At 39.7% G+C, this 19,698-nt stretch overlaps 1 long non-coding RNA gene across 1 annotated transcript in view; it reads right to left on the bottom strand.

Annotated features, from left to right (window-relative positions):
* Nucleotides 1-11,499: 11,499 nt before the first annotated feature.
* Nucleotides 11,500-19,698, bottom strand: part of LETR1 (lymphatic endothelial transcriptional regulator lncRNA 1) — a 47,813-nt gene continuing 39,614 nt past the window's right edge. Inside the window, exon 4 of the long non-coding RNA NR_034095.1 lies at nucleotides 11,500-12,308. This is a non-coding gene — a long non-coding RNA (lymphatic endothelial transcriptional regulator lncRNA 1). The remainder of the gene's footprint in view (nucleotides 12,309-19,698) is intronic.

Below are 19,698 nucleotides of genomic sequence, written 5' to 3' on the forward strand. Positions count from 1 at the left end.
GAGGTCTCACAACTTCTATTTGGAATTAACAGATCCACACAGGGCATCTTGACTCTTCTCATCCCCATGCCCTACACACCATACCTGGCCCCACCCCCACGTCTTCCTGGCTTCTGCATTTTACACACCACTCTGTTGAAGCCATATAGCTGCAGATCTACCTTAGGTCCTGTGTTTTCCCCTCCATGGCCAGGCCCTAGCTCATCGGTCCTCCAGGCCCAGCCCAACATGTATGTGCCACTCCATCATTCCCCAGTCTTGGGTCCTCTCTTCCTGGGCTATGGCCACAAGAACTTCTGGCAATTACTCAAGAAGTCTCTGCACGCACTTCCCACCTCATGACCTCGTATGCACATGGTGGCCACTATGTTCTTCCTCCATGCCTCCCTTAGCTAGATCCTCCTCAGCCACGGGATCTCAGTGTATAAATCACTTCCCCAGAGAATTTTTTTTTTTTTACTTCTCTGTCTGAAGCATTGACCTCCTTCTATCTCTCCTTGTTAATTCTATAGCAGCCCTTTTGTGGACTTCTTGGCAGACCACAATTTTATATCAATACTCTGGAGGGTTTTTTTTGTTTGTTTTTTTTTTTTTTGTTTGTTTGTTGTTTTCAGAGTCTCACTCTGTTGCCCAGGCTGGAGTGCAGTGGTGTGATCTCAGCTCACTGCAGCCTTCCACCTCCCAGGCTCAAGTGAATCTCTCGCCTGAGCCTCCCACGTAGCTGGGACTACAGGTGCATGCCACCACATCTGGCTAATTTTTAAAATCTTTCTGTCTCACTGTGTCACCCAGTCTGGTCTCTGCAGTCTCTGCAATTGCCTCAAGCAATCCTCCTGCCTTCCAAAGTGCTGGGATTACAGGCATGAGCCACTGCGCCTGGCTGTGAGATGCCACTTTTTAAATTGCCATGATCGAGCTATCTGAAGCAACAGTCCTTGTTTGTTCCCTGTTTGAAACTTTTCCAATTGGTTTTACTTTTTATTCTTTTGGTGAAGCATTACTATTTTAATTATCAAAAATCATAATGTGGTTATAGAATCATATCCGAAATGGGCAGGGAATACCAAAGAAAGTGAATTTGTATGTGACAAGATTTCTTATGGACCGCTGAGGAAGGGCATCACGTCTGTCTGCAGGGTTTTACTGTATGGATCCTGTGTAAATAGATCTGGTTGTACTTCATTTGCAGCTGTTGGTGCTTAACAAAACTAAGATGCTCTTGAGAGCACCAGATGGTCCAATCATGGAAGTTTAAAGAGTGGGTCTCCTTTGGGGGTTTTAGTGCCCATTAGAAGTTTACCTAACCCCCTTTCGTATGTGGAATTTTTATCACTATAACACAATCTAAGTAGGATCTCCATTGCTTCTTATGGGTGGACTTCAGAAGAGGGAAATATGTCTTGATTTTACTTCTTAGTTAACTGTTATGCTTGAAGGTGGCATTTTTGCTCTTTGAAAACCTAGGCTTACGATTTTCCCGTTTTAAAAAATGAATATTGCTTAAGGCATTTTAGATCTCATGATTTTAGGATGAATTCATGAGACAATAATTTAGATTGTATATTAGAAAAATATTTGATCTGGGAAATAGCACCTCAAGGGAAGAGGGAGATGTCCCACTGCCTGAGTCAGACTAGTTTGGATAAAACTCGGTGGGGGTGTGGGGATGGGGCAGGGAGACCAAGCCAAAGGAAACTGGCTCGGTCTAACAGAACATGGTTTTTCCATCTCTAATTTCTGAGTTTGTGACTCTTGTGGGAATTTTTCAACCCATAAAAAGTGCCCTTTTTCTGTCCCTGGTAATGGCCTAATGAAATAAACACTCATAAATATATGAAGTTCCCAGAGATAAGATCTGAACATCAGCCGCCTTTTACCTGGCAGTGGATGTTTTATCACCAGTGAATTGGTCATGTGATCTCTTTCAGCTTTTTTTCTCCCCTCAAACTGAAGGTCAGAATTCTTGTGATTGGGTTCTTTTAAACGTTCTGAAGCCTAAGTGCCTAGTGATTAAATAAATTTACATCTTATACACTTTCTAACACTCAGTAAAGAGATCATTGGATTTTATCAGCTGCTTGTGATGTTCAGCTGAATCTCAGCAACCCTGGCCTAGGACAGAGAGACCGTTTAGAGACAAGGATAGAGGATCATAAACAGGAAGCAGAGGTAGACAGAGCTCCCTGGCTGTCAATGTTGAATTAAAACAACAACAAAAACATCCAATGGCAACCGTGACATTGCCAAGATTTGCTTCTGTGCGAATGGAGCTTTCTTGGTTTCAGAGTTTCCAAGATGACTTTGTGGTCTTTCGCCAATAGGGTAAGGTAGTACTAACCTGCCCTCTTCTTTCCCAGGTAATTCTCTATAAGGAAAGAGGCTGAACATTATCCTAAGCCCAAGAACACAGAAACAGAAAAAAACAATATCACATGTTGTCACTTTTATAAGTAGTAGCTAAACTTTGGGTATGCAAGGACACAAAGATGGGGACAATAAACAATAGGATTTTCCAAAGCAGGGAGGGAACAGGTAGAGGGTTAAAAAACTGTCTATCAGGTACTATGCTCACTACTTGGCCAATGGGATTATTAGAAGCCCAATCCTAAGGATCACACAGTATACTCATATAACAAACCTGCACATGTACCCCCTGAATATACTTTTTTACAAAAGAAAAAGAAACAGGCCGGAAATAGATTAGATTTGGTTGTATGCTTTTATTTCTTAGCGTCTCATGATCAGTCACAATTTTACTCAGTGTATTTTGCTCTGAAAAAACATAAAAATGCAGTGGTGGTCTGTTCCTGATTCTAAGGAGCCGTGAGTTCAACTAGAGAGCAATAAGGAAGGCAACCTCAAACCTCCCCTGCTATGTTGAGGGCAATGCACTCCTGAAATAGAGTGAATTAGAACTTCCCTTGCCCACTTCCTGTTCCCTAGAGCTAGCTCCCTCTTCCTAGGGAGCTGTTTGAATCCTGAAGAATATGTGTGCTTCCCATGGCTCTTATCCTTGCTGCCTTTGAGCTAAGATGAAGCCTTCTCTCTGCTTAACAACAGCACAGAGAAAAGTCAAATAAAGTGGATGCCTGAGGATGTGTGGAGAACCAGGACAGATTTGCTGTAATTTCATACTTCCTGGTTCTATTTGTGATTCTAGACAGTATTCATGCTTCCACATAAGCCCATGCCTTGGGATATGCATACACCTTCAATAAATCAAACACTTAAAAATGTATGTGTTTGTTCGTTTGGGCATTCAGTAAGTTATCCTAAATGCACTGAGTCCCCGCCACAGCCCAAGAGGGCAGAGTGGCAAGAGCTCAGTATGAGATCCCCATGCCTGGCTCTACTCCTTGAGACCTCAGATGCATACCCATCAGTTATGGGACTTTGCATGAACCATTTAACCCCTCCAGGTCGCTTTGTTTTTGGATGGAGACTGGAAGTCACATTACTTGCTTTGGGTATTTCATGGAGCAGTTGTGGATCTCTGTTACTATGGAATAATGTGTATCCAAGGGTTTGGCATTATCAAATGGCCAGACATATATGTTATCATTATGGAAAGATTACTACTGAAAAATAAATTTATAAATGGAGTAGTCAACATGTAAGGCATGGTTCTACCTCTTCCAGGCTCAGTCATTATAAAGAAGAAAAAATTCCATGTCATAGTGGTCAGAAAGGCTTTGTAAAGAGACACAGGATTGAAGAAGGGAAAGGTGTAACCATCAGAAAGGAAAAATATGGGCACTGCCGATGAGGCCCTATCAGTAGGGTCCAAAGGACTACAGCTTGAGCATATCTCCATGACATCATTCATTGCACTGGATTTGCATTTTCCATCTTTGTGTCCACTTCTCAGCTTTGTACTGATTGATTTTCATTTTTTATTGACTTTCATTGCTCTAGTGCCTGGTACATTTCTTGCCAGTACAGGTCATATGCAGGATATGTTGGACATATAGTTTTGTTCAACATAAGAATACATAAACAAAGCAATGTACCTTAGAACTGTTCCATCTCCAAAATCTCTCAGAGCTTCTGCTGTCTAACAACAATCTCCTTTCTCTTTACCACTCACAGGTGCAGGACAAATTGTTTCTCACTGTGACCTCTCTTCCACCATTTCTAGTTTTCCGGACTATGCAAATTTACCTCTTCCCTCACCCCACAGTCAGACATTGCATCCTTATCCTCCCTACCACCCAACTTTCCCACATCCTCGTCATTTGATCACATCTCTCATATCCATTCTCAGCTGGAATCTACCAGTCACCAAATTTCTGCATCCCATCTGTTAAGATGCCTACTCATGCTGAATGGGATATGGACATCACTAGTATTTCCAACAGTATCACATCCAGTTAGTTCTTGTTATAGTCCCACAGTAAAGAGTCTAAAATATATCCCCATACCTCAACACTTTCCCATGGTCTTGGAAGGAGACCTCACTGCTGAGTTATTGAGAAGATAGTGGCCACCTAGTCTACACAACATGCTGTTCATTCCTTCAACGCATGTCTGCAGGTCTTCATTAGTTGCTTCTATCTCCATGTAGTGATTTCTTTTCTTTCTTTCTTCCTTTCTTTCTTTCTTTCTTTCTTTCTTTCTTTCTTTCTTTCTTTCTTTCTTTCCTTCTTTCTTTTCTTTCTTTCTTTCCTTCTTTCTTTTCTTTCTTTTTCTTTCCCTTTCTTTCTCTCTTCTTTTTTTTTTTAGAGAAGTTTCTCTCTTGTTGCTCAGGCTGGAGTGCAGTGGTGCAATCTCGACTCACTGCAACCTCCACCTCCTGGGTTCAAGCAATTCTCTTGCCTCAGCCTCCCAAGTAGCTGGGATTAAAGGCACCTGACACCATGCCCAGCTAATTTTTATATTTTTAGTAGAGATGAGGTCTCATCATGTTGGCCAGGCTGGTCTCAAACTCCTGACCTCAGGTGATCCACCCACCTCAGCCTCCTAAAGTGCTGGGATGACAGGCGTGAGCCACCGTTCCTGGCCCATGTAGTGATTTCTAACTGAAGGCCCTACCTCTCATCCTCAAGACCTCCCTTTCTGATTTCTTAATTTCTTCCCTTGCTGTCCCCTCAGAAGATCCATCAGGGGTATCCTGCCATCTCTGACATTCCAAGTTTCCCTCTTCATTGGCTCTTTTCTCCCAATTAATTGTACCACTAGATGATTCTCCAAGAAATCTGGACTCTGTAGTCAAATAATCTTAGGAACTATGATATACCATGTCACCATTTTGGATATTTGTAAGACAAATATAGCCAATTAAAGATAGTAAAGAACCTCATTCACTTTAGTTTTATTAGGGTCTCCTAAATGGTTTATAACTTTATCCTTTTTTTCCCTTTGAGTAACACCCATTAACACTCTACAAAACTCTTGAGATGCGGAACTCATTTGGACCACTGCTTTGACACATAAAATGTCCCCATCTCTACTATTAAAACAATAATCAAACAACTAAGACTTTCATGGTGTTGACAATCCTCAAGATTGTTTTCTCATTTCTTCTTCTTACCACTATTTTTATTGAGAAGTTTTTATCTCTAATTCTCCTTCATACAGTTCTCATTACTTTAGCTACCAATTAAATGTAGAGGCTCAATCTATAGCTCCCAGCTCTCTCCTAAATTAAATTGCTATATTTATTTCTGACTGTGTTCTTGATGTCTCCACCAGTTGGCTTCTTGTAGCATGAGCAGAACATGTTTGTACTAACTTATTATAGCTACCAACTACCACACCAGACCAGCCCTCAGTTGGTGGTACCAAATTCTTCTTTGTTCTTTGTCCCATCATTAATCTTTTGAACTGAATATGAAAAAGTAGGATGCATTTTTTTAAGTCAAATATACCTACAGAATTGAGTCATGCTCCATTATTTGCTAATTATTGAGCCTCACGGTCCTTATCTGTAAAGTAATGGCAAGAATACTTATTTGTAGAATAAATAATAGTGGTTGCTTCATGCATATAGTGTCTTTTCCCTTTGAAATATCTCACAGTTCCATTTCTTCTTTCTGTTTCTCTTCTACTCCCACAGTTTAGACTCTGATAACTTAATAGTCTCAATATTTGCTTTTAGGACTTTCATATCTCACCCCTGTCCAGAACAATGATGCAGTTACACTATAAAATATATTGTGTGTATATATGTAATTATAAACCATTATATTGCTATACTGTCACAATAATATCCTAAGAGAAAGACATGTATATGATAAATAGTCTTTCCATCATACAGTGTGAAAATTATGCTTTATTTCACTTGGCATCTGAAGTCATGATTTTACTTTAAGTACAACTAAATATTTGGAACAACATGGACCTTTATAATAGAGTTTGCTAAGTACATTTTCCGCTGTCTCCTGAGAACTGAAAAAGCTGAGAAATGTAGTTTCGGACCAGAGTACATCATCCTGTCAATGCTACTGATTGTTTTACCAACTGGACTCATAGATACATGGCCAACACCCAAGGAAGGGAGGAAGAAAATGACAGTGGCTGAGAGATATAAAATATCCCCTTCGAACTTCATAATTTGGAATTTTTAAAAATATTTATAATTTACAAGAATAAACAATGAAGTAATGGTCCGTAGGGTTCTCTGTGGCCACTTTGGACTTTTAAACAGTGATGGGTCACTCTTAAGTATCTAAAGTTCAAATTCAGTTTGGATCACAACCATGGCATTCAAATAGATAGATGAAGTTTTTCAAACCTCTGGAGATTGGAAATGTGAGCTGGAAATCTCATGCCCCTTCACTGTATTTTTGATTCTTCTGGTTTTGGCAGAAGTGGGAAATGAAGTTTAAGTTGAGCATTTTAGATTACTAAAAGTTAAACTGATAGTTGTCCAAATATGGACTTACAGATATCCATAAAGCACGCCCCTTTCCAAAGTTCACAGTTTTAGAAAATAGATAGTCTTCATTATCTGTGTTTAGTTTTTAATTAATTGTTTGTTTTGGATAGTTAATAGTAGAAGAAATTATACAGTTGACCAAGTACTTTCTCCACAAATTTGTTTAGCTCCCAATTATAGAAGTGGTTTGAAACACAACTCGACTACCTTATTTTTTCTTGCTGAATTTAGAAAACTCTCTCTCTCTCTCTCTCTCTCTCTCTCTCTCCAATTCCTTAGTTACTTAAAGTGCTTAGTTCCATTGGAAGGGATAACACATCTCATTTGGTTTAGGCACATTAAGACTGGGTCTACACACTCCAGAGGTGAAATGCAGCAAGACTGAAAAATATCGTTCACCTGATTTCTGGAAAATGCAGGTGATGGAATGTCAGGGCAATAGTTGGGATGGCACCTTCAAGTCCATGCTATTTACTTTGGTGGCAGAGATAAACTGTAGATAGTCAAATCAACTAATTTTTTTTGTTTGATCTGAATAAGCTGAAATTGCTAAAATGTACAATGTAACACTTTCTATCATGTAACTCACAGAAAGTAAATTTAATTGGATCTCAAGGAGAGAAGGACACATCAGCTCTAAAAGGTATATTAAGATACTCTCATCCAGGCTCCCTCTTGTAATAAGTTTGAAAACATGTGCCCTACCCTGGAGCTTTTTGTTCTTTCCATGACACCATGGTTTTATTCAAAGCAAAAGTAGCTCAGGGAGGAGCAAGAACATACTATGACTGCAGTCAACAAACAGGCAGAATAGGCCGGGCGTGGTGGCTCACGCCTGTAATACCAGCACTTTTGGAGGCCGAGGCAGGCGGATCACCTGAGGTCAAGAGATTGAGACCATCCTGGCCAACATGGTGAAACCCTGTCTCTACTAAAAATACAAAAACTAGCTGGGCATGGTGGTGCACGCCTGTAGTCCCAACTGCTTGGAAGGCTGAGGCAGGAGAATCTCTTGAACCCAGGAAGTGGAGGTTGCAATGAACCAAAATCGCGCCACTGCACTCCAGCCTGGCGACAGAGCAAGACTCTGTCGAAAAAACAAACAAGCAAACAAACGAAAAACAAAAACAAAAAACAGGCAGAATAGTTTGTGCCAGCTACCTCTTTATTCCTACTAAGTGCAACTGTTCCTCGCACTTAATAGGTGAGCAGTAGTAGTAAATCCTTATTGAATTTAATACATATCTTTGAGAATCATTGTTCAGGCTTGATATCCAAAGGAGAAATGAAAATGCCAACCAAGGTGAACTTACATGGTTTAATTCCTTTTGTGTCCCTACACCACCTTCCAGTCCCATCCCATAAGCTAAACACCTATACACAACAACCCAGGGCAGCTTAGAAATCTTCACTGAGACAAGGGAGGGATTTATTCTCCCAACATTTAGAACATGACACAGAGGACCTGGGTTCAAATCCTGAACCAACCATTTACTAGCAGCCACATTATGGAATGTTGCTAAATTATGGAATACCTGATGTATGCCCTCCTTCAACAAACCTTGCAGGGGCTCCAGAGAAACATGTACTGTTCAAGGCACTGGAGATGAAGCAGACAGCAAAACATTTCCCAGATGCCAAGCTGATTGCAGAGTATATCAGTATAGTCGAGATGCCTCTAAATCCTCCCATTCTCTTACTTCAAACCTACTGTCTTGAGATCTCTCTAGTGAAACCTAGGGGTCTATGTGGAGCAGGCATGAACCATAGATACAAATATGGTAAGAAGACAGTTTCTCTCCTCTAGGCATTCCCAGTATGGGAGAGCCATATGCATATAATTCATTGCAGGAGTGTGTTAAGACCTTTCATAGAGACACAAACCAAGCATTCTGTAGTTATATTCAGAAAATATTTGAAATTTGCCTAGAGAAGTTAAAGAATAAGTAACTCACTTGTTTTATGTAAGGATAAATTGAGACACAGGATGTGAAAACATTTATTAATTGCATCATTGATATAAACATGTAAATATATTTTTGCTTAGTAATATATTTGAATATATATTAACAGATATATATGATTTTCTAATATCACATATATCTTATACACAGCCAAGTATGTTTCAAGTTCCTATTATCTGAAAGGATTAAAAAATAAGCTCCAAGTTGCTCAACAAATCAAATAAATTTTATATTCTGAAACTAATAGGCCACTGCATTAAAACATTTTGATAAGTATAATTACATTTTCTCTGATCTTTTAGTATTCTCTTACTTGGTGTGTGTGTGTGTGTGTGTGTGTGTGTGTGTGTGTGTGCTTGTGTGTGTGTGTTTCTGGCTTCCTTCTTTATTAAAAATCCTCATTCCTATTGTTTGTTTGCCTAATGTATGTAAACAAAAACTCTCTGGTTAAGCCCAATTAATACAATGTAGATTAGCATTCATTACTTACAAATTAAAATTATTTTTATTTAATTTATTACTAATAGGCCAGAAAAGCACCATTTATTCTTTTTAAACTCTTAAGTTCGCATTTCACTTGATTTTTCGTGCTAGTCTATAATGAGTAATACTTGTACTACAGAACAGAAGGATTCTGGAGAAAGATCCTCCAACTATTCTCCATCCCCCACAGATGCTGTGGACATTTGAGTAGACTTTTGTACACCCCAGCGGAGTTTTTGACTCACTCCCCACTCACAGCACCATCTGAAAAACAGCAACAAAATCATAAGCACAGAGAGGTTTGGACTTCTAATGCTACCGCTGAGTATTATCCTTACCCTTGGAATGTTCATTTTGACATTTTTATCCCTAAGTCATTCACTACTAATGTAAACATGAGAGCTTGTTAAAACAGTTCCCTGAGCTGCCCTGCTGGAAGCTTCTTTCAGGCTGGAGAAGTCATCTCACTGCATCTCTTTCTAAGCCCTGTTTTGGTCTCTGAGACTCACTACAGCCTGACTTCTTACTGCAAGCAGTACATTTCGATATGAAGTCTCATCAAATGCTTTTCTTTGATGGGGTACAGAATCCAGCATGTTTCCTGGCTGAGAACACTATAATATCTGCAGGGAACTTTCACAAGTTCGTTAGGCAAGACCTTCCCCATAAATCTAGCAGTTGGCTTTTCAAGGTGCTCTTTAGCTAGAGCCCACTGCAAACATGTCGAGTACTTCTTTTCACACCTGATTTCTTTTCAGAGTCCATGAACTCAGCAACTGGTGAAGCCACACTTGAAAAAAATTTAATGTCACTATTCAGTTGGTTGTCAGTTACAAGGCCTGAAATTCTTCTGGGGGCATCTCAAGATGCCTCACTCTGATTCATTGTCAAGAGGCATTATGGGTAGCTGAAAGACTGAGCTTTGGAGAAAAGGCTGTCTTGAGGCTCAATTCTGACTTTGCCACTGGAGACTTTGGGGGAGTTATTTAACCCCAGAAGCTCAGTTGTTCTCATACACACACACACACACACACACACACACACACACACACACACACACATATATATGATAGTACACACTATAGTTAGTGTAGATCTACGATTATTGTGAGGACTAAATAAAATTATGCATAAAGAGCCCAGCAGTCGTAGGCCCTTAATTAAAAAATAGAAAACACAAATCTATTAAGTAAACTTTCTATAGGAATTTGCTTTTTAAATCAGCAAACCTCCTACAGTCAGTTGTTTTTCTTTAAGTTCTGTCAGCATGAGGCTTTTGGAAATGTCCCTAAAGAGCCTCTTTTCTCCTTCTATTACCTTGAAGTTTGAAGTGATAGAAAGTTTTCATTGAGAAAAGTAAGGCCAGGTTCTCAGGATGGCAATGGTTTCTACCAATCAGACCTGAAATATATGCAAGTGACATAAAATGGGCTCTCATTTTACATAATTAATCGCTCTCTATTTTAAACCTAGACTATGTGGCCAGCTTTCTTTCACTTTACACACCACTCCCTTCTTTCCAGCCATCTTTCAGTGTACTAAGAATAGTCATATCCTAAACCTAAACTGAACTGGCCTCGGATTTTTTTCTTTATACTCTACAGTCTTTTCACTGCTCTAATTCTCTATCATGCCAGAATGTTATAAAGAAGGCATTTGTTTATTTGAACTAAGTCAATGACCTTTTCAAGCATTTTCATCATGAGTTCCATATTACATAGAGTACCTTCTGTGCATAATGAACAAATAGGATCAAATTCCGGGACCTTATAGGATAAAACTACATTTCCCCTCAGGTCTTCAACTTTTTAAGGAGATTCTCTGCAGAACAGATAATGTTGATATGATATTATGGAGACATATCATGACAGGGTAGCATTTTGTCGCAGCGGTGATGTCTGAACTTCAGAAGATCTGGATTCTGAGTTTGAACACACTGCCAAGAATGTGGATTTCTTTTTAAAGCATCCAGATGTTTTATGTCTGTAGAGCTAGGCTTTTGGAAGCTGTTTATTTGTTGGTTTATATCAGGACAAGAAAGAGTACATTGCCTTCTTGAGTCTCACTCAAGTCATTTCCAGAGTCTGAGAAACGTACCACACCTTCAAATACCTATTCTTGATTCTTTAAATGTTTTGTGTTGGACTTTGGTTGACGGTATCGAAGCTAGATTTATTTTAAAACAAACACACATTTTATTTTAAGCAAAGTCAAAATGTTAAATGCCATTGCATACAAATTAGGGAATGGAATGGAGGACTGGAGGGATTATTAGAAACTGACTTTTTATGACCTTGATATTTCCCCACAAACACCAAAGGGAAATCAACCAGGAACTTTATGTCCTTCCGCCTCTGTGTGCTTAAATGTGTCACGTGTTAGAGCTGTCTCTGTCATCTGTATACAGCTGCCTCTGTACGCAGATTCCACGATGACCATCAGTGATGGAGACTGGATTATTGAGGTGCAAGCTAATTAACTTTTGATTCATTTTTACTATCATTTATCTAAAAGAGTCACAGCACCGAGGATTTGGCTCCCATGGAAAGATTATGAACCACTTCACTCAGCTACCTTACTTCTGGAGATATTTGACTAGCTTTAGGTCATAAATAGAAAAACTTAGTGTTTCCATTTGGCAATTCATGTCCCTTAAGAGCACAGGTTTTTGACTTCGTTGACTGCTGTGTTCACAGTGCCTAGAAAAACACAGCCCATGCCTGTTGCTCCTAACGTATCTGCTCAGTGAATGACTAAATGCTTCAGACCAGTATTACGAATTGCCTCCATTTTGAGCATGAACATCAGATCCAGATTATCCAAATCACAAATTTTGTTATTGTCTGTTTGTGTGTTAAGATGAAAAATAGACTTTCCCACAATGATGAGTGAATTGTTCATAGAAATAGTTTGATTACGAGGAAGAGTTCTGTACTTGAAACTTCATGGCAGTGGCGAAGATGTCTCTCTCTCTGATGAGATCCCTGAGAAATACCATGAATTGGTATCCACCTTCTTACATATATTGGAATCTGTTCATACATTCAGAGTAGGCACTTTCCCAAAACATTTTAAGCTTTTATGTGTTTCTGTTTGTTTTTTGAGACAGAGTCTCACTCTGTCACCCAGGCTGGAGTGCAGTGGTGCAATCTCAGCTCACTGCAACTTCTACCTCCCGGGTTCAAGTGATCCTCCTGCCTCAGCCTCCCAAGTAGGTGGGATTACAGACGTGTGCCACCATGCTCAACGAATTTTTGTATTTTTAGTAGAGATGGGGTTTCACCATGTTGCCCAGGCTGTCTCGAACTCCTGACCTCAGGTGATCTGCTCGCCTCGGCCTCCCACAGTGCTGGGATTACAGGCGTGCGCCACTGCACCCAGCCATATTTTAAGCTTTTAAATGTTGTGCTTCATTATTTGATCCATGGGTTGTCCAGAGAATAGAGCAGAGTTTGGTTCAATTATTTTGGGGTAGGAAGTAGAAGGCACAGGAGTTATTTATGGTAGTGGCTTTTATTTTGTATTATTAAGTAAAACTTATAATTTGTAGTTAGAATAATAACTACTACCAGCACTGTTATAAAAACAACTACCAATTATTGAGAGTTATGTACCAGGTACTATGGCTTCACAAAGCTTTATGGGATGGGTAGTATTCTTTCGGTTCTACAAAAGAGGGAACTATAACTCAAAGACTTCCACAAGAATGTAGAGCTAGTAAAATGTTAAAGAGTTGGGATTTTAACCCAGATATGCTAGATATACGGTTTACATAATTCTGGTTAACAAATCCTAAGTCCTGCTTTTCATTTTTGTGAATGAGTCATCAAACATAAGAAGTTATGCAAACCTTAATGAACTACGTTAACCTTCTCATAGGCTTCCAGAAAACAAAATAACGGAAGCGCACAGGTTACCTTAAAGGTGCACTGTTTACATCCCAGACTAAATCAGTGCTCATACAGCTGCTGAGAAAACCACATGAGAGCTAGAAACAGAAGGGAGGGATCTATAATGCTGCACTGTACTTAAGTTTAATATCAAATTAAGTTTTTTGTTTGTGCCTTTTTCAACCAATGATATACTGGAAGACATGCAGTTTCCTAGGGAAAAAATAATTCAAGAACTTCCAAAGTTATGCTTAGATAATGTGTAAAGAAGGCTAACAAAGAAGAGATATAACTAGAAGAGATTTTAAGCATCACTCAGCTAATCTTCCTACTTTGTGCACTATTTGTACCAAGAGATAAGGAGGGAAATAATATGGTAACTATCTTGTACTGAATGGCATTATATAAGCAATGGACACATTCAGGAGAGGATTACAACAGAAACCTATGCAGTTCCTGCGTGGTACCTCACTTAGTGTCACTTTATTTTGTGCTGTCAACTATATTCTGTAGTTAAGTTCGGCTCTCTTTCTTTATATATGTATGAGTCAGCCACTTTCCCCATGAAGATTAAATGAGATAATGCATGTGAAGTGTTATCTAAACCATAATGTGCCATGCAAGTATTAGATATTGTCAGGGCCCAGGAATTTATAAGAATTCTCCAGTTATTCTATAAACAGGTTACAAGCCAGTGATATAAGGCTGCTTGAACTACTGTGCAGGGCATTTGTTACATCATCAAAGAAAAATATGGGCAGAGGAAGGATGAGGAAATAATCGGTGAAAATTTTTCTAGTTCTTAGAAGATTTCACTTCTATTTCTCTGAACTAATGTGTAATAAATCTTTTTCTGGCTTCTGGCTTTCCAGGACCTGGAAGTCAAGCTTCCAACAGACTGGAGTTGAAACTGGTAGCAGGGAAGAAGGAAAAACTGGTCTCTCCTCTAAAGGATGTTGTCATTGGGAGGATCTTGGCATAAGAAGCAGTTTTTTGACCTTGAGGCTACCTGAAGGGTTTCCTTAATCTAACTGTGCCCAATTACTAGCAGTTTTCACAGCAGTATGTTTCAGCAGCTTATCAAAGAATAGAAGCAGACAGTAAAAAGAGAGGGGACAGGATGGGTTTCAGTGGTTCTGAATAAGTCAGGCTTCTGGTGACCAGCAAAGGAAGAGCCTGGTTTCCATAAATCAGAGAGGTAGTTAGCAAGGGTGAGTTGGGACTTAAGGGAACTTTGCCTTGAAAGCCCAAAGACTTGTACTTGTGCCTTAATTATACAGCTTAGGTCCTCAGAGAAGGTTGTGACTTAGAGTAGGTGAGGCTGTTCTGTCAGCTGACCAGAGGAGAAAGCGCTGATCTTACAGGCATAAGAAACTGACCTTGGGTGAAGATGAAAGTATATACTCCTTTTGGGTTTCCCATTGCTCAGCAGAGTAATGGTTGTGCTGGTATTTCGCTGTCTGAAGATGTAAAGAAGTGTCTTCTATTCTGGTGGAATATTAGCAATCCCTGAACCTCTCCTAATCGAGATGTCATGTGTACCCTCACATCAGACTAATTGAACTCAACAGGTTGGTGGGTGAAACTTGGGCATTTTATTTTTAAGCTTTCCAAGTGATTCCAATTGCAGTCAGGCTTAAGAACGATTTACTTAAAAGTTTTAAGATGGAAATTTGCAAAGGGCTGCTATTCAAATCACTGTTCCTACAGCTACTTAGGTGTTTATGATCTAAGACGACACCTGGATATGTGTCAAAGGCCAATTATTAAGAGGGTCTGGCAGTGAAAACTGATATCATCCAGGTGGGCCTTCTCTAAGATAATAACTTGCTGTGAAGCTTCATGTTCGTTTCCACATTAGGAATGCAGAGGCAGCTTATTAGGAGGAAGCTGGCGTGGTCTGATTCTAGAGCACATGCTGTGGGCTCTATTTCTTTACAGTACACAGAGGAGCCTCAGGACAAGGCCTTCCCCACTCCTCCAAATGCCCACATATCAGACTAGGGGGATACTCCCTTTTGAAATTAGCCAGCTTGCCTCTGTCACTGACTGTTGCAAATGACTACTGAATTTATAAAACATTCATTGATGTTCCTTGTTGGGTTTGAGATTATAAATCTTTTTCTGCCGGGCTGTCACTGGGAGTAGACTGGAAAGCTGGAGACAAAATTCCCATAGCTCTGGTAGACACAATGACTGGCATAACCACTAGAGACTGGATAGTTCCAAAAATACTCAAGAACTTAAGAATGTTAATATAAGATAATGAATACTGAAGAACTTGAGAATGTTAATATAAGGTAATGAAGGCAAGGGATATGTGGAAGGAAGCCTATTGAAGATTCCAACAATCTTGATTATAGTTTTGTTGCTTTTTTTTTTCATCTTTCTTTACCCGTTGTGCTAGCATCTCTGCCCAGTTCAAAAGGTTATGAGAGAGACCAGCTAGAGCAGAACTGGCCGGAACCTGGAGTTTTGACCAATCACCAGGGGCTGATCTGTAAAAAGTTTGGGCTTCTAAGGAAGTCCAAGAGTAGCTGACTGGTGGATAACTAAGCAACAATGTGAAATAGGGCTCCACGGCTGTCTAGCAACAGACATGGGTAGAGATCCAAGATGGAGGGCATCTGGTAAACACAGTAGATCACATGAATCTCCAGTCTTGAGCCCCAGAAATGGGAGAGCTGGCAGGACTCTAAGAGAACCTGTTGTAGGGTGCCCAGAATAGGGGTACTATACAGGAAAACAAGGCAATGAGTTGTACTTGGGCACATGGGCAGGATGAAACACATTAAACTGGACTAGGAGTTAAAGCCTTGTCCTGTGAAATCAACCTTGAGCCCAGCCTCGAGAAATGAGAGAAGAGTTTGTCCAGGGGCCAAGGGGACTTCACGCTTGGCTGATGAACTCCTGGTCTACAGCTCCCTGAATTCCCCTTACCCAAGGTCAAGATGAGTTCCAGTCATGTCAGGGCTGGACCTGTAGGTTGGGGTTAAGTGGTTCCAGCTTCTATATAGAGGCAGGAAGCCAAAAGGATCATTACCATAAGTATTTTTTTTTTAAATTCACAATTCTACTTTCCTCCCTCAACTACAATTTTGTTATATGGACATGTTCTAAGAGTATGTGCAGAGGATAACGATTAAATAAACTTTTCCAAGTAAAACACAGTTAAAGGCTACTTCACTGTGGCCAAATGACTTTCTGTAAGGCCAAAATTACTTACTGTAGAGAGCAACCAAATGCATTTGATGCTCTTTAATGCTCTAGAATATCTAATATTATGTAGAGCACATAATATACTTTAAGTGAGTGCATATCAATACATACAAGAATATCATAGCTATGAGAGAGGCATATAATTAATATATTTGAAATATCACTACTATCCCCATTCTAGCTCAAAGTGTGAACTGATTTTAAATTTTTTTTAAGCTTCTGCAAAACTTTATTCTTGTTTTCTCTCTTTAAAATTGTAAATCTTAAATATTTAAAAGATATCTTGCTGTCATGTAATATCCGATATTCACACACACACACGCACATAGGTACACAAATACACAAATGGAGACTTCCAATGAGAAAACAACCTTGTAAAAGGAGTTTTACAAGGGAGTGCTGTGTTAACTGACATATTGCTGAGTTAGCAACTAAATAACCAGCTACATACATCCCTTTTGTATCATTGAGTAGCATGCATTCTTAAAGTGATAATGGAACTAAATTTGGAGAGAACAGGCCCTTAAGTTTCAATTTATTTGTTTCACAATCGCAGCCTCAAACTGAAGGGAAAATTACGCTGCAGTTTGATAAATAAAGCACTATACATTCAAAAACAAAATGCAAAATGGAAACTTTTAGAACTTCAAATAATCAAGGATCTTAGATTAATTTCATCAGTGGTTGAGAGTTTTTTGTTGTTGTGAATTTGCTGGAGAATTTAGTATGAAAGCACTCTAACTAGTGTCTGATTATATCAGTGTCTCTATTTCCTTTTAGAACACACATCTGTTGTTGTGGGGGGTTTTTGGAGAGGAGAGTGTGGTTGTGGTTATTATGGAAATACGGCAAAACCAAATATTTTAAAGCAGATGAGAAGAAACCCACAAACAGTTGGCTCACAAATGTTGTAATGCTTTCCACACCCAGGCATAAAGCAAGTGGCAGCGGCAGCAGCAGCAGCGTTCCTGGTGGCCTCTGTTTTATCTGTTTCAAACACTGGGCTGCTCTTGTTAGTTAACTGACTGGAGATTGTTTTCTCCCTTTATCCCCTCTCTCTCTTTTTAATTGTTGTTACTCTGTTTTGCCTGAAAGCTGCAGTATCTCACTGTTCATTATTCCCTGTTCAGTCAAATCCTGTCCAAAATTAACTCATTGTGTGCTGGAGTTCTTCTCAAGCTCTCTTTTCTTACAAGATGCACAAAATAGACCTCACTGTAGCTCTTTCAAGAAGTTTGCATATCATACGGATAACTCTTTGAACTAACTCAATGCTGACTTTACTGGGCTGTGTTTCTTTAATATTTACAACTTCTAACTAGAAATATTTCCAATTATTAATAAGAAATTGTTATAAAATTCTAAAGTTTCAACCATTTTAATCCTTTCTCTCTCTCTCTCTCCCTCCCTGTCTCTTATATAAACCTAGTTCCACAGACCCTGTTTTGACTTTAGTTTCTCTTTTTTATTTTACTTGGAAATTTTTAAAAGAGTCTTCTGAGTCTCCAAACTAAAGCTATAAGACAGAAAAAAAAAAAAAGCCATCAGTCAATACAGCTGGGGAACTAGTTTCTCATATCAGCATCGAATTCCAAGGTATTCAACTTGAACTAAGTGCAGCCATCAGAAAAACCATAGAAATGGGAAAGTTGCTGTTGTAAATTAATGATTATTTGCTGTGTGCGTTAGAGTTGCGGTTTGTACCACATTTTATTGTGATGTTTTATTCTTACTCAGTGCAACAGTAATTGGGTCTTAAACATGATAAAGTATCTTCAAGGCTGCATTGGTAGCTGAGCTGCCTACGGCAGGTTTTTAACTCTAGTTAAAGAAGGTTAATCAAAGCTAATGAATCTGTTTTATCCATTGCCATGAGTTTTTTTTTTTTTTTTAAATGTGCCAGGAGGTGACTGACCTAAAATCCGGATTGTTCAGCTGTGAAGGCAAATACATCTTTAGCATAATGATTTTGCAAGCCTCTTTGATGGCCCTGGGTCCATGGATGGCAGGTACCTGCAAGCTCTGTAGTTTTCTTACCTTTCTACCACTGCTCACTCTTCTGCCATTAAAAAATACGAGCCTTATGAAAATACAGGAGAGGGAATGCAATCCCACACTACAGCCTTCAGTGTGAGAATATCAAGAGACTGTTGCATTCAGAAGTTCAGAATAGCTCTGCTCTTTATAAAAGAATATGAGGAGCCCCCTAATAAGGCCAATTCATTAGAACAAGTGTTTGTTACTAAAACACACCACGCAGGACCACAGGGATCCGAGCCAGACAGCACGGCAATTAAAGTTGCCTCCCTTCCAAACGCAGGCGGCCCACCAACTCTCACCCACGAGTTCTGCTTTGTTTTCCTATTAGAAATGTGATTGAAGAATGCAAGTTCATAATTTGTTCATGCAGCAGAAGACTAGTAACTCTCTGGTTGCAACATCCTTTTATACACTTCAAATCAGAATTAAAAAAAAATTCAGGTTGCTTGTGTGTGTCCTTTCTGAAAGCGCAGGAGGAGCAAAACCTTTTGCTCTGGGAATCTACCTTGCTGCCTAGAAAACATTGCCTAGTTGCATTTGCAAAAACGCTCAGCGAGAGACCATCCTCCAAATATCTAAAATCACAGTAGTGGAGGGTTTTTAATTTTAAGCCCAGCGTTTACAGAAAACACACACACACACACACACACACACACACACACACACACACTCTCAGCCTGCAGTGACACCTTTTCCCTCCCCTTTGGTGCTCTGCGGAGCTTTGGAATGAGATTCATAGCGACTCAGGACTGTTGCTGGCAAGGAAAACCCCCTGCCTACCAGACAGAAAGAGGGGCGGGGAGGGCCATTGTGGCTTTCCCTCCTGCTCTCTTTTTAAGCCCAAATAATATTTGTACTTTGAGGGGAGGGTGCAAAAAAGGGATCAAGATATGAAGCAAGGCAGAACCCAAAAAGCGAGGGGGAGAAAAAAGCTCAAGGAGAGAGACCAGCTCTGGTCCGAGAAAGGGCCTACATCACAGGTTTCAAAAGCATCTTTTTTCAGTTTCACGAGCCACAACCCCCTTGATGAAAACTAGTTGCGAAATTCAGCGCCTGTTAGGCCTCAGCTAATTAGAAAAAATGGGCTTTTTTTCTTTTCCTTTCTTTCTTTAGCACCTTTTCTTTCAAGCATTTAGTCTCAGGAGGGGGATCCAGGCTCTTGGCCGGGCTGTTTTGAAAACACGCCTTTGAATGCGTCTCCCTAATTCACGCCTTTTGTTTTTCA

This window comes from Homo sapiens, chromosome 15 (assembly GCF_000001405.40).
Source record: "Homo sapiens chromosome 15, GRCh38.p14 Primary Assembly".
NCBI lineage: Eukaryota > Metazoa > Chordata > Mammalia > Primates > Hominidae > Homo > Homo sapiens.